This window comes from Homo sapiens, chromosome 15, assembly GCF_000001405.40.
Source record: "Homo sapiens chromosome 15, GRCh38.p14 Primary Assembly".
Taxonomy (NCBI): domain Eukaryota; kingdom Metazoa; phylum Chordata; class Mammalia; order Primates; family Hominidae; genus Homo; species Homo sapiens.
Window position 1 is genome coordinate 18,567,498 of NC_000015.10, and position 22,356 is coordinate 18,589,853.

A 22,356-nucleotide genomic window follows, 5' to 3' on the forward strand; every position below is an offset into this window, starting at 1 on the left:
TGCATTCAACTCACAGAGCTGAACATTCCCGTTCATAGAGCAGGTTTGAAACACTCTTTCTGTACTATCTGGAAGTGGACATTTCGAGCGCTTTCAGGCCTATGGTGAAAAAGGAAACATCTTCAAATAAAAACTAGACAGAAGCATTCTCAGAAACTTATTTGTGATGTGTGTCCTCAACTCACAGAGTTCAACCTTTGTTTTGATACAGCAGTTTGGAAACACTCTTTTTGTAGAATCTACAAATGGATATTTGGAGACCTTTGAAAATTTCGTTGGACACGGGAATATCTTCATATAAAATCTAGACAAAAGCATTCTCAGAATCTTCTTTGTGATGTTTGCATTCAACTCATAGAGTTGAACACTCCCTTTCATACAGCACGTTTGAAACACACTTTGTGGAGTATGTGGAAATGGACATTTCGAGCACTCTTAGGCCTAAGGTGAAAAGGGAAATATCTTCAAATAAAAACTAGTCAGCAGCATTCTCAGAAACCTCTTTGTGATGTGTGTACTCAACTAACAGAGTTGAACCTTCCTTTTCACAGAGCAGTTTGGAAACACTCTTTTTGTGGCATTTGCAAGTGGATATTTGGATAGCTTTGAGGATTTCGTTGGAAACGGGAATATTTTCATATAAAATCTAGACAGAAGCATTCTCAGAATCTTCTTTGTGATGTATGCCCTCAATTCACAGAGTTGAACCTTTCTTTGGATACAGCATTTTGGAAACATTCCTTTTGTAGAATCTGCAAGTTGATATTTGGATAGCTTTGAGGATTTCGTTGGAAACGGGAATATCTACATATAAAATCTAGACAGAAGCATTCTCAGAAACCTCTTTGTAATGCTTGCATTCAACTCATAGGTTTCAACATTCCCTATCATAGAGCAGGTTTGAAACACTCTTTTTGTAGTATGTGGAAGTGGACATTTGGAGCGCTTTGAGGCCTACCGTGAAAAAGGAAATATCTTCCCATAAAAACTAGACAGAAGCATTCTCAGAAACTTGTTTGTGACGTGTGTATTCAACTAACAGAGTTGAACCTTTCTTTTTACAGAGCAGCTTTGAAACCCTGTTTCTGTGGAATCTGCAATTGGAAATTTCGATAGTTCTGAGGATTTCGTTGGAAACGGGATTACAAGTAGAAAGTAGACAGCAGCATTCTCAGAAACTGCTTTGTGATGTTTGCATTCAAGTCTCATAGTTGAACATTCCCTTTCATAGAGCAGGTTTGAATCACTGTTTCTGTAGTATCTGGAAGTGGGTATTTCGAGCGCTTTCAGGCCTAAGGTGAGAAAGGAAATGTCTTCAAATAAGAACTAGACAGAAGCATTCTCAGAAACTTATTTGTGATGTGTGTCCTCAACTAACAGAGATGAACCTTTGTTTTGATACAGCAGTTTGGAAACACTCTTTTTGTAGAATCTACAAGAGGATATTTTGAGAGCATTGAAAATTTCGTTGGAAGCGGGAAAACCTTCATATAAAATCTAGACAGCAGCATTCTCAGAAACTTCTTTGTGATGTTTGCATTCAACTCATAGAGTTGAACATTCCCATTCATACAGCAGGTTTGAGACACTCTTTGTATAGTATGTGGAAATGGATATTTGGAGCGCTTTGAGGCCTATGGTGAAGAAGGAAATATCTTCCCAAAAAAACTAGACGAAAGCATTCTCGCAATCTTGTTTGCCATGTGTGTACTCAACTAACAGAGTTGAACCTATCTTTTGACAGAGCAGTTTTGAAACACTCTTTTTGTGGAATCTGCAAGTGGATATTTGGATAGCTTCGAGGATTTCGTTGGAAACGGGAATATCCTCATTTAAAATCTAGACGGAAGCATTCTCAGAACCTGCTTTGTGATGTTTGCATTCAACTCACAGAGCTGAACATTCCCGTTCATAGAGCAGGTTTGAAACACTCTTTCTGTACTATCTGGAAGTGGACATTTCGAGCGCTTTCAGGCCTATGGTGAAAAAGGAAACATCTTCAAATAAAAACTAGACAGAAGCATTCTCAGAAACTTATTTGTGATGTGTGTCCTCAACTCACAGAGTTCAACCTTTGTTTTGATACAGCAGTTTGGAAACACTCTTTTTGTAGAATCTACAAATGGATATTTGGAGACCTTTGAAAATTTCGTTGGACACGGGAATATCTTCATATAAAATCTAGACAAAAGCATTCTCAGAATCTTCTTTGTGATGTTTGCATTCAACTCATAGAGTTGAACATTCCCTTTCATACAGCACGTTTGAAACACACTTTGTGGAGTATGTGGAAATGGACATTTCGAGCACTCTTAGGCCTAAGGTGAAAAGGGAAATATCTTCAAATAAAAACTAGTCAGCAGCATTCTCAGAAACCTCTTTGTGATGTGTGTACTCAACTAACAGAGTTGAACCTTCCTTTTCACAGAGCAGTTTGGAAACACTCTTTTTGTGGCATTTGCAAGTGGATATTTGGATAGCTTTGAGGATTTCGTTGGAAACGGGAATATTTTCATATAAAATCTAGACAGAAGCATTCTCAGAATCTTCTTTGTGATGTATGCCCTCAATTCACAGAGTTGAACCTTTGTTTGGATACAGCATTTTGGAAACATTCCTTTTGTAGAATCTGCAAGTTGATATTTGGATAGCTTTGAGGATTTCGTTGGAAACGGGAATATCTACATATAAAATCTAGACAGAAGCATTCTCAGAAACCTCTTTGTAATGCTTGCATTCAACTCATAGGTTTCAACATTCCCTATCATAGAGCAGGTTTGAAACACTCTTTTTGTAGTATGTGGAAGTGGACATTTGGAGCGCTTTGAGGCCTACGGTGAAAAAGGAAATATCTTCCCATAAAAACTAGACAGAAGCATTCTCAGAAACTTGTTTGTGACGTGTGTATTCAACTAACAGAGTTGAACCTTTCTTTCTACAGAGCAGCTTTGAAACACGCTTTTTGTGGAATCTGCAATTGGAAATTTCGATAGTTCTGAGGATTTCGTTGGAAACGGGATTACAAATAGAAAGTAGACAGCAGCATTCTCAGAAACTGCTTTGTGATGTTTGCATTCAAGTCACCTAGTTGAACATTCCCTTTCATAGAGCAGGTTTGAATCACAGTTTCTGTCATATCTGGAAGTGGATATTTCGAGCGTTTTCAGGCCTAAGGTGAGAAAGGAAATGTCTTCAAATAAGAACTAGACAGAAGCATTCTCAGAAACTTATTTGTGATGTGTGTCCTCAACTAACAGAGATGAACCTTTGTTTTGATACAGCAGTTTGGAAACACTCTTTTTGTAGAATCTACAAGAGGATATTTTGAGAGCATTGAAAATTTCGTTGGAAGCGGGAAAACCTTCATATAAAATCTAGACAGCAGCATTCTCAGAAACTTCTTTGTGATGTTTGCATTCAACTCATAGAGTTGAACATTCCCATTCATACAGCAGGTTTGAGACACTCTTTGTATAGCATGTGGAAATGGATATTTGGAGCGCTTTGAGGCCTATGGTGAAGAAGGAAATATCTTCCCAAAAAAACTAGACGAAAGCATTCTCGGAATCTTGTTTGCCATGTGTGTACTCAACTAACAGAGTTGAACCTATCTTTTGACAGAGCAGTTTTGAAACACTCTTTTTGTGGAATCTGCAAGTGGATATTTGGATAGCTTCGAGGATTTCGTTGGAAACGGGAATATCCTCATTTAAAATCTAGACGGAAGCATTCTCAGAACCTGCTTTGTGATGTTTGCATTCAACTCACAGAGCTGAACATTCCCGTTCATAGAGCAGGTTTGAAACACTCTTTCTGTACTATCTGGAAGTGGACATTTCGAGCGCTTTCAGGCCTATGGTGAAAAAGGAAACATCTTCAAATAAAAACTAGACAGAAGCATTCTCAGAAACTTATTTGTGATGTGTGTCCTCAACTCACAGAGTTCAACCTTTGTTTTGATACAGCAGTTTGGAAACACTCTTTTTGTAGAATCTACAAATGGATATTTGGAGACCTTTGAAAATTTCGTTGGACACGGGAATATCTTCATATAAAATCTAGACAAAAGCATTCTCAGAATCTTCTTTGTGATGTTTGCATTCAACTCATAGAGTTGAACATTCCCTTTCATACAGCACGTTTGAAACACACTTTGTGGAGTATGTGGAAATGGACATTTCGAGCACTCTTAGGCCTAAGGTGAAAAGGGAAATATCTTCAAATAAAAACTAGTCAGCAGCATTCTCAGAAACCTCTTTGTGATGTGTGTACTCAACTAACAGAGTTGAACCTTCCTTTTCACAGAGCAGTTTGGAAACACTCTTTTTGTGGCATTTGCAAGTGGATATTTGGATAGCTTTGAGGATTTCTTTGGAAACGGGAATATTTTCATATAAAATCTAGACAGAAGCATTCTCAGAATCTTCTTTGTGATGTATGCCCTCAATTCACAGAGTTGAACCTTTGTTTGGATACAGCATTTTGGAAACATTCCTTTTGCAGAATCTGCAAGCTGATATTTGGATAGCTTTGAGGATTTCGTTGGAAACGGGAATATCTACATATAAAATCTAGACAGAAGCATTCTCAGAAACCTCTTTGTAATGCTTGCATTCAACTCATAGGTTTCAACATTCCCTATCATAGAGCAGGTTTGAAACACTCTTTTTGTAGTATGTGGAAGTGGACATTTGGAGCGCTTTGAGGCCTACGGTGAAAAAGGAAATATCTTCCCATAAAAACTAGACAGAAGCATTCTCAGAAACTTGTTTGTGACGTGTGTATTCAACTAACAGAGTTGAACCTTTCTTTTTACAGAGCAGCTTTGAAACCCTGTTTCTGTGGAATCTGCAATTGGAAATTTCGATAGTTCTGAGGATTTCGTTGGAAACGGGATTACAAATAGAAAGTAGACAGCAGCATTCTCAGAAACTGCTTTGTGATGTTTGCATTCAAGTCACATAGTTGAACATTCCCTTTCATAGAGCAGGTTTGAATCACTGTTTCTGTAGTATCTGGAAGTGGGTATTTCGAGCGCTTTCAGGCCTAAGGTGAGAAAGGAAATGTCTTCAAATAAGAACTAGACAGAAGCATTCTCAGAAACTTATTTGTGATGTGTGTCCTCAACTAACAGAGATGAACCTTTGTTTTGATACAGCAGTTTGGAAACACTCTTTTTGTAGAATCTACAAGAGGATATTTTGAGAGCATTGAAAATTTCGTTGGAAGCGGGAAAACCTTCATATAAAATCTAGACAGCAGCATTCTCAGAAACTTCTTTGTGATGTTTGCATTCAACTCATAGAGTTGAACATTCCCATTCATACAGCAGGTTTGAGACACTCTTTGTATAGCATGTGGAAATGGATATTTGGAGCGCTTTGAGGCCTATGGTGAAGAAGGAAATATCTTCCCAAAAAAACTAGACGAAAGCATTCTCGCAATCTTGTTTGCCATGTGTGTACTCAACTAACAGAGTTGAACCTATCTTTTGACAGAGCAGTTTTGAAACACTCTTTTTGTGGAATCTGCAAGTGGATATTTGGATAGCTTCGAGGATTTCGTTGGAAACGGGAATATCCTCATTTAAAATCTAGACGGAAGCATTCTCGGCACCTGCTTTGTGATGTTTGCATTCAACTCACAGAGCTGAACATTCCCGTTCATAGAGCAGGTTTGAAACACTCTTTCTGTACTATCTGGAAGTGGACATTTCGAGCGCTTTCAGGCCTATGGTGAAAAAGGAAACATCTTCAAATAAAAACTAGACAGAAGCATTCTCAGAAACTTATTTGTGATGTGTGTCCTCAACTCACAGAGTTCAACCTTTGTTTTGATACAGCAGTTTGGAAACACTCTTTTTGTAGAATCTACAAATGGATATTTGGAGACCTTTGAAAATTTCGTTGGACACGGGAGTATCTTCATATAAAATCTAGACAAAAGCATTCTCAGAGTCTTCTTTGTGATGTTTGCATTCAACTCATAGAGTTGAACATTCCCTTTCATACAGCACGTTTGAAACACACTTTGTGGAGTATGTGGAAATGGACATTTCGAGCACTCTTAGGCCTAAGGTGAAAAGGGAAATATCTTCAAATAAAAACTAGTCAGCAGCATTCTCAGAAACCTCTTTGTGATGTGTGTACTCAACTAACAGAGTTGAACCTTCCTTTTCACAGAGCAGTTTGGAAACACTCTTTTTGTGGCATTTGCAAGTGGATATTTGGATAGCTTTGAGGATTTCGTTGGAAACGGGAATATTTTCATATAAAATCTAGACAGAAGCATTCTCAGAATCTTCTTCGTGATGTATGCCCTCAATTCACAGAGTTGAACCTTTGTTTGGATACAGCATTTTGGAAACATTCCTTTTGCAGAATTTGCAAGTTGATATTTGGATAGCTTTGAGGATTTCGTTGGAAACGGGAATATCTACATATAAAATCTAGACAGAAGCATTCTCAGAAACCTCTTTGTAATGCTTGCATTCAACTCATAGGTTTCAACATTCCCTATCATAGAGCAGGTTTGAAACACTCTTTTTGTAGTATGTGGAAGTGGACATTTGGAGCGCTTTGAGGCCTACCGTGAAAAAGGAAATATCTTCCCATAAAAACTAGACAGAAGCATTCTCAGAAACTTGTTTGTGACGTGTGTATTCAACTAACAGAGTTGAACCTTTCTTTTTACAGAGCAGCTTTGAAACACGCTTTTTGTGGAATCTGCAATTGGAAATTTCGATAGTTCTGAGGATTTCGTTGGAAACGGGATTACAAATAGAAAGTAGACAGCAGCATTCTCAGAAACTGCTTTGTGATGTTTGCATTCAAGTCACCTAGTTGAACATTCCCTTTCATAGAGCAGGTTTGAATCACTGTTTCTGTCGTATCTGGAAGTGGATATTTCGAGCGTTTTCAGGCCTAAGGTGAGAAAGGAAATGTCTTCAAATAAGAACTAGACAGAAGCATTCTCAGAAACTTATTTGTGATGTGTGTCCTCAACTAACAGAGTTGAACCTTTCTTTTGACACAGCAGTTTGGAAACACTCTTTTTGTAGAATCTACAAGTGGATATTTTGAGAGCATTGAAAATTTCGTTGGAAACGGGAAAACCTTCATATAAAATCTAGACAGAAGCATTCTCAGAAACTTCTTTGTAATGTTTGCATTCAACTCATAGAGTTGAACATTCCCTTTCATACAGCAGGTTTGAAACACTCTTTTTGTAGTATGTGGAAGTGGACATTTGGAGCGCTTTGAGGCCTACGGTGAAAAAGGAAATATCTTCCCATAAAAACTAGACAGAAGCATTCTCAGAAACTTGTTTGTGACGTGTGTATTCAACTAACAGAGTTGAACCTTTCTTTTTACAGAGCAGCTTTGAAACCCTGTTTCTGTGGAATCTGCAATTGGAAATTTCGATAGTTCTGAGGATTTCGTTGGAAACGGGATTACAAATAGAAAGTAGACAGCAGCATTCTCAGAAACTGCTTTGTGATGTTTGCATTCAAGTCACATTGTTGAACATTCCCTTTCATAGAGCAGGTTTGAATCACTGTTTCTGTAGTATCTGGAAGTGGGTATTTCGAGCGCTTTCAGGCCTAAGGTGAGAAAGGAAATGTCTTCAAATAAGAACTAGACAGAAGCATTCTCAGAAACTTATTTGTGATGTGTGTCCTCAACTAACAGAGATGAACCTTTGTTTTGATACAGCAGTTTGGAAACACTCTTTTTGTAGAATCTACAAGAGGATATTTTGAGAGCATTGAAAATTTCGTTGGAAGCGGGAAAACCTTCATATAAAATCTAGACAGCAGCATTCTCAGAAACTTCTTTGTGATGTTTGCATTCAACTCATAGAGTTGAACATTCCCATTCATACAGCAGGTTTGAGACACTCTTTGTATAGCATGTGGAAATGGATATTTGGAGCGCTTTGAGGCCTATGGTGAAGAAGGAAATATCTTCCCAAAAAAACTAGACGAAAGCATTCTCGGAATCTTGTTTGCCATGTGTGTACTCAACTAACAGAGTTGAACCTATCTTTTGACAGAGCAGTTTTGAAACACTCTTTTTGTGGAATCTGCAAGTGGATATTTGGATAGCTTCGAGGATTTCGTTGGAAACGGGAATATCCTCATTTAAAATCTAGACGGAAGCATTCTCGGAACCTGCTTTGTGATGTTTGCATTCAACTCACAGAGCTGAACATTCCCGTTCATAGAGCAGGTTTGAAACACTCTTTCTGTACTATCTGGAAGGGGACATTTCGAGCGCTTTCAGGCCTATGGTGAAAAAGGAAACATCTTCAAATAAAAACTAGACAGAAGCATTCTCAGAAACTTACTTGTGATGTGTGTCCTCAACTCACAGAGTTCAACCTTTGTTTTGATACAGCAGTTTGGAAACACTCTTTTTGTAGAATCTACAAATGGATATTTGGAGACCTTTGAAAATTTCGTTGGACACGGGAATATCTTCATATAAAATCTAGACAAAAGCATTCTCAGAGTCTTCTTTGTGATGTTTGCATTCAACTCATAGAGTTGAACATTCCCTTTCATACAGCACGTTTGAAACACACTTTGTGGAGTATGTGGAAATGGACATTTCGAGCACTCTTAGGCCTAAGGTGAAAAGGGAAATATCTTCAAATAAAAACTAGTCAGCAGCATTCTCAGAAACCTCTTTGTGATGTGTGTACTCAACTAACAGAGTTGAACCTTCCTTTTCACAGAGCAGTTTGGAAACACTCTTTTTGTGGCATTTGCAAGTGGATATTTGGATAGCTTTGAGGATTTCGTTGGAAACGGGAATATTTTCATATAAAATCTAGACAGAAGCATTCTCAGAATCTTCTTTGTGATGTATGCCCTCAATTCCCAGAGTTGAACCTTTGTTTGGATACAGCATTTTGGAAACATTCCTTTTGTAGAATCTGCAAGTTGATATTTGGATAGCTTTGAGGATTTCGTTGGAAACCGGAATATCTACATATAAAATCTAGACAGAAGCATTCTCAGAAACCTCTTTGTAATGCTTGCATTCAACTCATAGGTTTCAACATTCCCTATCATAGAGCAGGTTTGAAACACTCTTTTTGTAGTATGTGGAAGTGGACATTGGGAGCGCTTTGAGGCCTACGGTGAAAAAGGAAATATCTTCCCATAAAAACTAGACAGAAGCATTCTCAGAAACTTGTTTGTGACGTGTGTATTCAACTAACAGAGTTGAACCTTTCTTTTTACAGAGCAGCTTTGAAACACGCTTTTTGTGGAATCTGCAATTGGAAATTTCGATAGTTCTGAGGATTTCGTTGGAAACGGGATTACAAATAGAAAGTAGACAGCAGCATTCTCAGAAACTGCTTTGTGATGTTTGCATTCAAGTCACCTAGTTGAACATTCCCTTTCATAGAGCAGGTTTGAATCACTGTTTCTGTCGTATCTGGAAGTGGATATTTCGAGCGTTTTCAGGCCTAAGGTGAGAAAGGAAATGTCTTCAAATAAGAACTAGACAGAAGCATTCTCAGAAACTTATTTGTGATGTGTGTCCTCAACTAACAGAGTTGAACCTTTCTTTTGACACAGCAGTTTGGAAACACTCTTTTTGTAGAATCTACAAGTGGATATTTTGAGAGCATTGAAAATTTCGTTGGAAACGGGAAAACCTTCATATAAAATCTAGACAGAAGCATTCTCAGAAACTTCTTTGTAATGTTTGCATTCAACTCATAGAGTTGAACATTCCCTTTCATACAGCAGGTTTGAAACACTCTTTTTGTAGTATGTGGAAGTGGACATTTGGAGCGCTTTGAGGCCTACGGTGAAAAAGGAAATATCTTCCCATAAAAACTAGACAGAAGCATTCTCAGAAACTTGTTTGTGACGTGTGTATTCAACTAACAGAGTTGAACCTTTCTTTTTACAGAGCAGCTTTGAAACCCTGTTTCTGTGGAATCTGCAATTGGAAATTTCGATAGTTCTGAGGATTTCGTTGGAAACGGGATTACAAATAGAAAGTAGACAGCAGCATTCTCAGAAACTGCTTTGTGATGTTTGCATTCAAGTCACATAGTTGAACATTCCCTTTCATAGAGCAGGTTTGAATCACTGTTTCTGTAGTATCTGGAAGTGGGTATTTCGAGCGCTTTCAGGCCTAAGGTGAGAAAGGAAATGTCTTCAAATAAGAACTAGACAGAAGCATTCTCAGAAACTTATTTGTGATGTGTGTCCTCAACTAACAGAGATGAACCTTTGTTTTGATACAGCAGTTTGGAAACACTCTTTTTGTAGAATCTACAAGAGGATATTTTGAGAGCATTGAAAATTTCGTTGGAAGCGGGAAAACCTTCATATAAAATCTAGACAGCAGCATTCTCAGAAACTTCTTTGTGATGTTTGCATTCAACTCATAGAGTTGAACATTCCCATTCATACAGCAGGTTTGAGACACTCTTTGTATAGCATGTGGAAATGGATATTTGGAGCGCTTTGAGGCCTATGGTGAAGAAGGAAATATCTTCCCAAAAAAACTAGACGAAAGCATTCTCGGAATCTTGTTTGCCATGTGTGTACTCAACTAACAGAGTTGAACCTATCTTTTGACAGAGCAGTTTTGAAACACTCTTTTTGTGGAATCTGCAAGTGGATATTTGGATAGCTTCGAGGATTTCGTTGGAAACGGGAATATCCTCATTTAAAATCTAGACGGAAGCATTCTCAGAACCTGCTTTGTGATGTTTGCATTCAACTCACAGAGCTGAACATTCCCGTTCATAGAGCAGGTTTGAAACACTCTTTCTGTACTATCTGGAAGTGGACATTTCGAGCGCTTTCAGGCCTATGGTGAAAAAGGAAACATCTTCAAATAAAAACTAGACAGAAGCATTCTCAGAAACTTATTTGTGATGTGTGTCCTCAACTCACAGAGTTCAACCTTTGTTTTGATACAGCAGTTTGGAAACACTCTTTTTGTAGAATCTACAAATGGATATTTGGAGACCTTTGAAAATTTCGTTGGACACGGGAATATCTTCATATAAAATCTAGACAAAAGCATTCTCAGAATCTTCTTTGTGATGTTTGCATTCAACTCATAGAGTTGAACATTCCCTTTCATACAGCACGTTTGAAACACACTTTGTGGAGTATGTGGAAATGGACATTTCGAGCACTCTTAGGCCTAAGGTGAAAAGGGAAATATCTTCAAATAAAAACTAGTCAGCAGCATTCTCAGAAACCTCTTTGTGATGTGTGTACTCAACTAACAGAGTTGAACCTTCCTTTTCACAGAGCAGTTTGGAAACACTCTTTTTGTGGCATTTGCAAGTGGATATTTGGATAGCTTTGAGGATTTCGTTGGAAACGGGAATATTTTCATATAAAATCTAGACAGAAGCATTCTCAGAATCTTCTTTGTGATGTATGCCCTCAATTCACAGAGTTGAACCTTTGTTTGGATACAGCATTTTGGAAACATTCCTTTTGCAGAATCTGCAAGCTGATATTTGGATAGCTTTGAGGATTTCGTTGGAAACGGGAATATCTACATATAAAATCTAGACAGAAGCATTCTCAGAAACCTCTTTGTAATGCTTGCATTCAACTCATAGGTTTCAACATTCCCTATCATAGAGCAGGTTTGAAACACTCTTTTTGTAGTATGTGGAAGTGGACATTTGGAGCGCTTTGAGGCCTACGGTGAAAAAGGAAATATCTTCCCATAAAAACTAGACAGAAGCATTCTCAGAAACTTGTTTGTGACGTGTGTATTCAACTAACAGAGTTGAACCTTTCTTTTTACAGAGCAGCTTTGAAACACGCTTTTTGTGGAATCTGCATTTGGAAATTTCGATAGTTCTGAGGATTTCGTTGGAAACGGGATTACAAATAGAAAGTAGACAGCAGCATTCTCAGAAACTTATTTGTGATGTGTGTCCTCAACTAACAGAGTTGAACCTTTCTTTTGACACAGCAGTTTGGAAACACTCTTTTTGTAGAATCTACAAGTGGATATTTTGAGAGCATTGAAAATTTCGTTGGAAACGGGAAAACCTTCATATAAAATCTAGACAGAAGCATTCTCAGAAACTTCTTTGTAATGTTTGCATTCAACTCATAGAGTTGAACATTCCCTTTCATACAGCAGGTTTGAAACACTCTTTTTGTAGTATGTGGAAGTGGACATTTGGAGCGCTTTGAGGCCTACGGTGAAAAAGGAAGTATCTTCCCATAAAAACTAGACAGAAGCATTCTCAGAAACTTGTTTGTGACGTGTGTATTCAACTAACAGAGTTGAACCTTTCTTTTTACAGAGCAGCTTTGAAACCCTGTTTCTGTGGAATCTGCAATTGGAAATTTCGATAGTTCTGAGGATTTCGTTGGAAACGGGATTACAAATAGAAAGTAGACAGCAGCATTCTCAGAAACTGCTTTGTGATGTTTGCATTCAAGTCACCTAGTTGAACATTCCCTTTCATAGAGCAGGTTTGAATCACTGTTTCTGTCGTATCTGGAAGTGGATATTTCGAGCGTTTTCAGGCCTAAGGTGAGAAAGGAAATGTCTTCAAATAAGAACTAGACAGAAGCATTCTCAGAAACTTATTTGTGATGTGTGTCCTCAACTAACAGAGTTGAACCTTTCTTTTGACACAGCAGTTTGGAAACACTCTTTTTGTAGAATCTACAAGTGGATATTTTGAGAGCATTGAAAATTTCGTTGGAAACGGGAAAACCTTCATATAAAATCTAGACAGAAGCATTCTCAGAAACTTCTTTGTAATGTTTGCATTCAACTCATAGAGTTGAACATTCCCTTTCATACAGCAGGTTTGAAACACCCTTTTTGTAGTATGTGGAAGTGGACATTTGGAGCGCTTTGAGGCCTACGGTGAAAAAGGAAATATCTTCCCATAAAAACTAGACAGAATCATTCTCAGAAACTTGTTTGTGACGTGTGTATTCAACTAACAGAGTTGAACCTTTCTTTTTACAGAGCAGCTTTGAAACCCTGTTTCTGTGGAATCTGCAATTGGAAATTTCGATAGTTCTGAGGATTTCGTTGGAAACGGGATTACAAATAGAAAGTAGACAGCAGCATTCTCAGAAACTGCTTTGTGATGTTTGCATTCAAGTCACATAGTTGAACATTCCCTTTCATAGAGCAGGTTTGAATCACTGTTTCTGTAGTATCTGGAAGTGGGTATTTCGAGCGCTTTCAGGCCTAAGGTGAGAAAGGAAATGTCTTCAAATAAGAACTAGACAGAAGCATTCTCAGAAACTTATTTGTGATGTGTGTCCTCAACTAACAGAGATGAACCTTTGTTTTGATACAGCAGTTTGGAAACACTCTTTTTGTAGAATCTACAAGAGGATATTTTGAGAGCATTGAAAATTTCGTTGGAAGCGGGAAAACCTTCATATAAAATCTAGACAGCAGCATTCTCAGAAACTTCTTTGTGATGTTTGCATTCAACTCATAGAGTTGAACATTCCCATTCATACAGCAGGTTTGAGACACTCTTTGTATAGCATGTGGAAATGGATATTTGGAGCGCTTTGAGGCCTATGGTGAAGAAGGAAATATCTTCCCAAAAAAACTAGACGAAAGCATTCTCGGAATCTTGTTTGCCATGTGTGTACTCAACTAACAGAGTTGAACCTATCTTTTGACAGAGCAGTTTTGAAACACTCTTTTTGTGGAATCTGCAAGTGGATATTTGGATAGCTTCGAGGATTTCGTTGGAAACGGGAATATCCTCATTTAAAATCTAGACGGAAGCATTCTCAGAACCTGCTTTGTGATGTTTGCATTCAACTCACAGAGCTGAACATTCCCGTTCATAGAGCAGGTTTGAAACACTCTTTCTGTACTATCTGGAAGTGGACATTTCGAGCGCTTTCAGGCCTATGGTGAAAAAGGAAACATCTTCAAATAAAAACTAGACAGAAGCATTCTCAGAAACTTATTTGTGATGTGTGTCCTCAACTCACAGAGTTCAACCTTTGTTTTGATACAGCAGTTTGGAAACACTCTTTTTGTAGAATCTACAAATGGATATTTGGAGACCTTTGAAAATTTCGTTGGACACGGGAATATCTTCATATAAAATCTAGACAAAAGCATTCTCAGAATCTTCTTTGTGATGTTTGCATTCAACTCATAGAGTTGAACATTCCCTTTCATACAGCACGTTTGAAACACACTTTGTGGAGTATGTGGAAATGGACATTTCGAGCACTCTTAGGCCTAAGGTGAAAAGGGAAATATCTTCAAATAAAAACTAGTCAGCAGCATTCTCAGAAACCTCTTTGTGATGTGTGTACTCAACTAACAGAGTTGAACCTTCCTTTTCACAGAGCAGTTTGGAAACACTCTTTTTGTGGCATTTGCAAGTGGATATTTGGATAGCTTTGAGGATTTCGTTGGAAACGGGAATATTTTCATATAAAATCTAGACAGAAGCATTCTCAGAATCTTCTTTGTGATGTATGCCCTCAATTCACAGAGTTGAACCTTTGTTTGGATACAGCATTTTGGAAACATTCCTTTTGTAGAATCTGCAAGTTGATATTTGGATAGCTTTGAGGATTTCGTTGGAAACGGGAATATCTACATATAAAATCTAGACAGAAGCATTCTCAGAAACCTCTTTGTAATGCTTGCATTCAACTCATAGGTTTCAACATTCCCTATCATAGAGCAGGTTTGAAACACTCTTTTTGTAGTATGTGGAAGTGGACATTTGGAGCGCTTTGAGGCCTACGGTGAAAAAGGAAATATCTTCCCATAAAAACTAGACAGAAGCATTCTCAGAAACTTGTTTGTGACGTGTGTATTCAACTAACAGAGTTGAACCTTTCTTTTTACAGAGCAGCTTTGAAACACGCTTTTTCTGGAATCTGCAATTGGAAATTTCGATAGTTCTGAGGATTTCGTTGGAAACGGGATTACAAATAGAAAGTAGACAGCAGCATTCTCAGAAACTGCTTTGTGATGTTTGCATTCAAGTCACCTAGTTGAACATTCCCTTTCATAGAGCAGGTTTGAATCACTGTTTCTGTCGTATCTGGAAGTGGATATTTCGAGCGTTTTCAGGCCTAAGGTGAGAAAGGAAATGTCTTCAAATAAGAACTAGACAGAAGCATTCTCAGAAACTTATTTGTGATGTGTGTCCTCAACTAACAGAGTTGAACCTTTCTTTTGACACAGCAGTTAGGAAACACTCTTTTTGTAGAATCTACAAGTGGATATTTTGAGAGCATTGAAAATTTCGTTGGAAACGGGAAAACCTTCATATAAAATCTAGACAGAAGCATTCTCAGAAACTTCTTTGTAATGTTTGCATTCAACTCATAGAGTTGAACATTCCCTTTCATACAGCAGGTTTGAAACACTCTTTTTGTAGTATGTGGAAGTGGACATTTGGAGCGCTTTGAGGCCTATGGTGAAAAAGGAAATATCTTCCCATAAAAACTAGACAGAAGCATTCTCAGAAACTTGTTTGTGACGTGTGTATTCAACTAACAGAGTTGAACCTTTCTTTTTACAGAGCAGCTTTGAAACCCTGTTTCTGTGGAATCTGCAATTGGAAATTTCGATAGTTCTGAGGATTTCGTTGGAAACGGGATTACAAATAGAAAGTAGACAGCAGCATTCTCAGAAACTGCTTTGTGATGTTTGCATTCAAGTCACCTAGTTGAACATTCCCTTTCATAGAGCAGGTTTGAATCACTGTTTCTGTAGTATCTGGAAGTGGGTATTTCGAGCGCTTTCAGGCCTAAGGTGAGAAAGGAAATGTCTTCAAATAAGAACTAGACAGAAGCATTCTCAGAAACTTATTTGTGATGTGTGTCCTCAACTAACAGAGATGAACCTTTGTTTTGATACAGCAGTTTGGAAACACTCTTTTTGTAGAATCTACAAGAGGATATTTTGAGAGCATTGAAAATTTCGTTGGAAGCGGGAAAACCTTCATATAAAATCTAGACAGCAGCATTCTCAGAAACTTCTTTGTGATGTTTGCATTCAACTCATAGAGTTGAACATTCCCATTCATACAGCAGGTTTGAGACACTCTTTGTATAGCATGTGGAAATGGATATTTGGAGCGCTTTGAGGCCTATGGTGAAGAAGGAAATATCTTCCCAAAAAAACTAGACGAAAGCATTCTCGGAATCTTGTTTGCCATGTGTGTACTCAACTAACAGAGTTGAACCTATCTTTTGACAGAGCAGTTTTGAAACACTCTTTTTGTGGAATCTGCAAGTGGATATTTGGATAGCTTCGAGGATTTCGTTGGAAACGGGAATATCCTCATTTAAAATCTAGACGGAAGCATTCTCAGAACCTGCTTTGTGATGTTTGCATTCAACTCACAGAGCTGAACATTCCCGTTCATAGAGCAGGTTTGAAACACTCTTTCTGTACTATCTGGAAGTGGACATTTCGAGCGCTTTCAGGCCTATGGTGAAAAAGGAAACATCTTCAAATAAAAACTAGACAGAAGCATTCTCAGAAACTTATTTGTGATGTGTGTCCTCAACTCACAGAGTTCAACCTTTGTTTTGATACAGCAGTTTGGAAACAATCTTTATTTGGAGACCTTTGAAAATTTCGTTGGACACGGGAATATCTTCATATAAAATCTAGACAAAAGCATTCTCAGAATCTTCTTTGTGATGTTTGCATTCAACTCATAGAGTTGAACATTCCCTTTCATACAGCACGTTTGAAACACACTTTGTGGAGTATGTGGAAATGGACATTTCGAGCACTCTTAGGCCTAAGGTGAAAAGGGAAATATCTTCAAATAAAAACTAGTCAGCAGCATTCTCAGAAACCTCTTTGTGATGTGTGTACTCAACTAACAGAGTTGAACCTTCCTTTTCACAGAGCAGTTTGGAAACACTCTTTTTGTGGCATTTGCAAGTGGATATTTGGATAGCTTTGAGGATTTCGTTGGAAACGGGAATATTTTCATATAAAATCTAGACAGAAGCATTCTCAGAATCTTCTTTGTGATGTATGCCCTCAATTCACAGAGTTGAACCTTTGTTTGGATACAGCATTTTGGAAACATTCCTTTTGTAGAATCTGCAAGTTGATATTTGGATAGCTTTGAGGATTTCGTTGGAAACGGGAATATCTACATATAAAATCTAGACAGAAGCATTCTCAGAAACCTCTTTGTAATGTTTGCATTCAACTCATAGGTTTCAACATTCCCTATCATAGAGCAGGTTTGAAACACTCTTTTTGTAGTATGTGGAAGTGGACATTTGGAGCGCTTTGAGGCCTACGGTGAAAAAGGAAATATCTTCCCATAAAAACTAGACAGAAGCATTCTCAGAAACTTGTTTGTGACGTGTGTATTCAACTAACAGAGTTGAACCTTTCTTTTTACAGAGCAGCTTTGAAACATGCTTTTTGTGGAATCTGCAATTGGAAATTTCGATAGTTCTGAGGATTTCGTTGGAAACGGGATTACAAATAGAAAGTAGACAGCAGCATTCTCAGAAACTGCTTTGTGATGTTTGCATTCAAGTCACCTAGTTGAACATTCCCTTTCATAGAACAGGTTTGAATCACTGTTTCTGTAGTATCTGGAAGTGGGTATTTCGAGCGCTTTCAGGCCTAAGGTGAGAAAGGAAATGTCTTCAAATAAGAACTAGACAGAAGCATTCTCAGAAACTTATTTGTGATGTGTGTCCTCAACTAACAGAGATGAACCTTTGTTTTGATACAGCAGTTTGGAAACACTCTTTTTGTAGAATCTACAAGAGGATATTTTGAGAGCATTGAAAATTTCGTTGGAAGCGGGAAAACCTTCATATAAAATCTAGACAGCAGCATTCTCAGAAACTTCTTTGTGATGTTTGCATTCAACTCATAGAGTTGAACATTCCCATTCATACAGCAGGTTTGAGACACTCTTTGTATAGCATGTGGAAATGGATATTTGGAGCGCTTTGAGGCCTATGGTGAAGAAGGAAATATCTTCCCAAAAAAACTAGACGAAAGCATTCTCGGAATCTTGTTTGCCATGTGTGTACTCAACTAACAGAGTTGAACCTATCTTTTGACAGAGCAGTTTTGAAACACTCTTTTTGTGGAATCTGCAAGTGGATATTTGGATAGCTTCGAGGATTTCGTTGGAAACGGGAATATCCTCCTTTAAAATCTAGACGGAAGCATTCTCAGAACCTGCTTTGTGATGTTTGCATTCAACTCACAGAGCTGAACATTCCCGTTCATAGAGCAGGTTTGAAACACTCTTTCTGTACTATCTGGAAGTGGACATTTCGAGCGCTTTCAGGCCTATGGTGAAAAAGGAAACATCTTCAAATAAAAACTAGACAGAAGCATTCTCAGAAACTTATTTGTGATGTGTGTCCTCAACTCACAGAGTTCAACCTTTGTTTTGATACAGCAGTTTGGAAACACTCTTTTTGTAGAATATACAAATGGATATTTGGAGACCTTTGAAAATTTCGTTGGACACGGGAATATCTTCATATAAAATCTAGACAAAAGCATTCTCAGAATCTTCTTTGTGATGTTTGCATTCAACTCATAGAGTTGAACATTCCCTTTCATACAGCACGTTTGAAACACACTTTGTGGAGTATGTGGAAATGGACATTTCGAGCACTCTTAGGCCTAAGGTGAAAAGGGAAATATCTTCAAATAAAAACTAGTCAGCAGCATTCTCAGAAACCTCTTTGTGATGTGTGTACTCAACTAACAGAGTTGAACCTTCCTTTTCACAGAGCAGTTTGGAAACACTCTTTTTGTGGCATTTGCAAGTGGATATTTGGATAGATTTGAGGATTTCGTTGGAAACGGGAATATTTTCATATAAAATCTAGACAGAAGCATTCTCAGAATCTTCTTTGTGATGTATGCCCTCAATTCACAGAGTTGAACCTTCGTTTGGATACAGCATTTTGGAAACATTCCTTTTGTAGAATCTGCAAGTTGATATTTGGATAGCTTTGAGGATTTCGTTGGAAACGGGAATATCTACATATAAAATCTAGACAGAAGCATTCTCAGAAACCTCTTTGTAATGCTTGCATTCAACTCATAGGTTTCAACATTCCCTATCATAGAGCAGGTTTGAAACACTCTTTTTGTAGTATGTGGAAGTGGACATTTGGAGCGCTTTGAGGCCTACGGTGAAAAAGGAAATATCTTCCCATAAAAACTAGACAGAAGCATTCTCAGAAACTTGTTTGTGACGTGTGTATTCAACTAACAGAGTTGAACCTTTCTTTTTACAGAGCAGCTTTGAAACACGCTTTTTGTGGAATCTGCAATTGGAAATTTCGATAGTTCTGAGGATTTCGTTGGAAACGGGATTACAAATAGAAAGTAGACAGCAGCATTCTCAGAAACTGCTTTGTGATGTTTGCATTCAAGTCACCTAGTTGAACATTCCCTTTCATAGAGCAGGTTTGAATCACTGTTTCTGTCGTATCTGGAAGTGGATATTTCGAGCGTTTTCAGGCCTAAGGTGAGAAAGGAAATGTCTTCAAATAAGAACTAGACAGAAGCATTCTCAGAAACTTATTTGTGATGTGTGTCCTCAACTAACAGAGTTGAACCTTTCTTTTGACACAGCAGTTTGGAAACACTCTTTTTGTAGAATCTACAAGTGGATATTTTGAGAGCATTGAAAATTTCGTTGGAAACGGGAAAATCTTCATATAAAATCTAGACAGAAGCATTCTCAGAAACTTCTTTGTAATGTTTGCATTCAACTCATAGAGTTGAACATTCCCTTTCATACAGCAGGTTTGAAACACTCTTTTTGTAGTATGTGGAAGTGGACATTTGGAGCGCTTTGAGGCCTACGGTGAAAAAGGAAATATCTTCCCATCAAAACTAGACAGAAGCATTCTCAGAAACTTGTTTGTGACGTGTGTATTCAACTAACAGAGTTGAACCTTTCTTTTTACAGAGCAGCTTTGAAACCCTGTTTCTGTGGAATCTGCAATTGGAAATTTCGATAGTTCTGAGGATTTCGTTGGAAACGGGATTACAAATAGAAAGTAGACAGCAGCATTCTCAGAAACTGCTTTGTGATGTTTGCATTCAAGTCACCTAGTTGAACATTCCCTTTCATAGAGCAGGTTTGAATCACTGTTTCTGTAGTATCTGGAAGTGGGTATTTCGAGCGCTTTCAGGCCTAAGGTGAGAAAGGAAATTGTCTTCAAATAAGAACTAGAAACAAAGCATTCTCAGAAACTTATTTGTGATGTGTGTCCTCAACTAACAGAGATGAACCTTTGTTTTGATACAGCAGTTTGGAAACACTCTTTTTGTAGAATCTACAAGAGGATATTTTGAGAGCATTGAAAATTTCGTTGGAAGCGGGAAAACCTTCATATAAAATCTAGACAGCAGCATTCTCAGAAACTTCTTTGTGATGTTTGCATTCAACTCATAGAGTTGAACATTCCCATTCATACAGCAGGTTTGAGACACTCTTTGTATAGCATGTGGAAATGGATATTTGGAGCGCTTTGAGGCCTATGGTGAAGAAGGAAATATCTTCCCAAAAAAACTAGACGAAAGCATTCTCGCAATCTTGTTTGCCATGTGTGTACTCAACTAACGGAGTTGAACCTATCTTTTGACAGAGCAGTTTTGAAACACTCTTTTTGTGGAATCTGCAAGTGGATATTTGGATAGCTTCGAGGATTTCGTTGGAAACGGGAATATCCTCATTTAAAATCTAGACGGAAGCATTCTCAGAACCTGCTTTGTGATGTTTGCATTCAACTCACAGAGCTGAACATTCCCGTTCATAGAGCAGGTTTGAAACACTCTTTCTGTACTATCTGGAAGTGGACATTTCGAGCGCTTTCAGGCCTATGGTGAAAAAGGAAACATCTTCAAATAAAAACTAGACAGAAGCATTCTCAGAAACTTATTTGTGATGTGTGTCCTCAACTCACAGAGTTCAACCTTTGTTTTGATACAGCAGTTTGGAAACACTCTTTTTGTAGAATCTACAAATGGATATTTGGAGACCTTTGAAAATTTCGTTGGACACGGGAATATCTTCATATAAAATCTAGACAAAAGCATTCTCAGAATCTTCTTTGTGATGTTTGCATTCAACTCATAGAGTTGAACATTCCCTTTCATACAGCACGTTTGAAACACACTTTGTGGAGTATGTGGAAATGGACATTTCGAGCACTCTTAGGCCTAAGGTGAAAAGGGAAATATCTTCAAATAAAAACTAGTCAGCAGCATTCTCAGAAACCTCTTTGTGATGTGTGTACTCAACTAACAGAGTTGAACCTTCCTTTTCACAGAGCAGTTTGGAAACACTCTTTTTGTGGCATTTGCAAGTGGATATTTGGATAGCTTTGAGGATTTCTTTGGAAACGGGAATATTTTCATATAAAATCTAGACAGAAGCATTCTCAGAATCTTCCTTGTGATGTATGCCCTCAATTCACAGAGTTGAACCTTTGTTTGGATACAGCATTTTGGAAACATTCCTTTTGTAGAATCTGCAAGTTGATATTTGGATAGCTTTGAGGATTTCGTTGGAAACGGGAATATCTACATATAAAATCTAGACAGAAGCATTCTCAGAAACCTCTTTGTAATGCTGGCATTCAACTCATAGGTTTCAACATTCCCTATCATAGAGCAGGTTTGAAACACTCTTTTTGTAGTATGTGGAAGTGGACATTTGGAGCGCTTTGAGGCCTACGGTGAAAAAGGAAATATCTTCCCATAAAAACTAGACAGAAGCATTCTCAGAAACTTGTTTGTGACGTGTGTATTCAACTAACAGAGTTGAACCTTTCTTTTTACAGAGCAGCTTTGAAACCCTGTTTCTGTGGAATCTGCAATTGGAAATTTCGATAGTTCTGAGGATTTCGTTGGAAACGGGATTACAAATAGAAAGTAGACAGCAGCATTCTCAGAAACTGCTTTGTGATGTTTGCATTCAAGTCACCTAGTTGAACATTCCCTTTCATAGAGCAGGTTTGAATCACTGTTTCTGTAGTATCTGGAAGTGGGTATTTCGAGCGCTTTCAGGCCTAAGGTGAGAAAGGAAATGTCTTCAAATAAGAACTAGACAGAAGCATTCTCAGAAACTTATTTGTGATGTGTGTCCTCAACTAACAGAGATGAACCTTTGTTTTGATACAGCAGTTTGGAAACACTCTTTTTGTTTTAATCTACAAGAGGATATTTTGAGAGCATTGAAAATTTCGTTGGAAGCGGGAAAACCTTCATATAAAATCTAGACAGCAGCATTCTCAGAAACTTCTTTGTGATGTTTGCATTCAACTCATAGAGTTGAACATTCCCATTCATA

At 37.9% G+C, this 22,356-nt stretch overlaps 1 annotated feature.

The window, feature by feature from the left end:
* Positions 1–22,356: part of a centromere (Linear centromere model derived predominantly from reads generated in PMID: 17803354. This region does not represent an actual centromere sequence, as long-range ordering of repeats and unmapped WGS contigs is not provided by the model. For details of model production, see http://arxiv.org/abs/1307.0035.) that runs on past both edges of the window.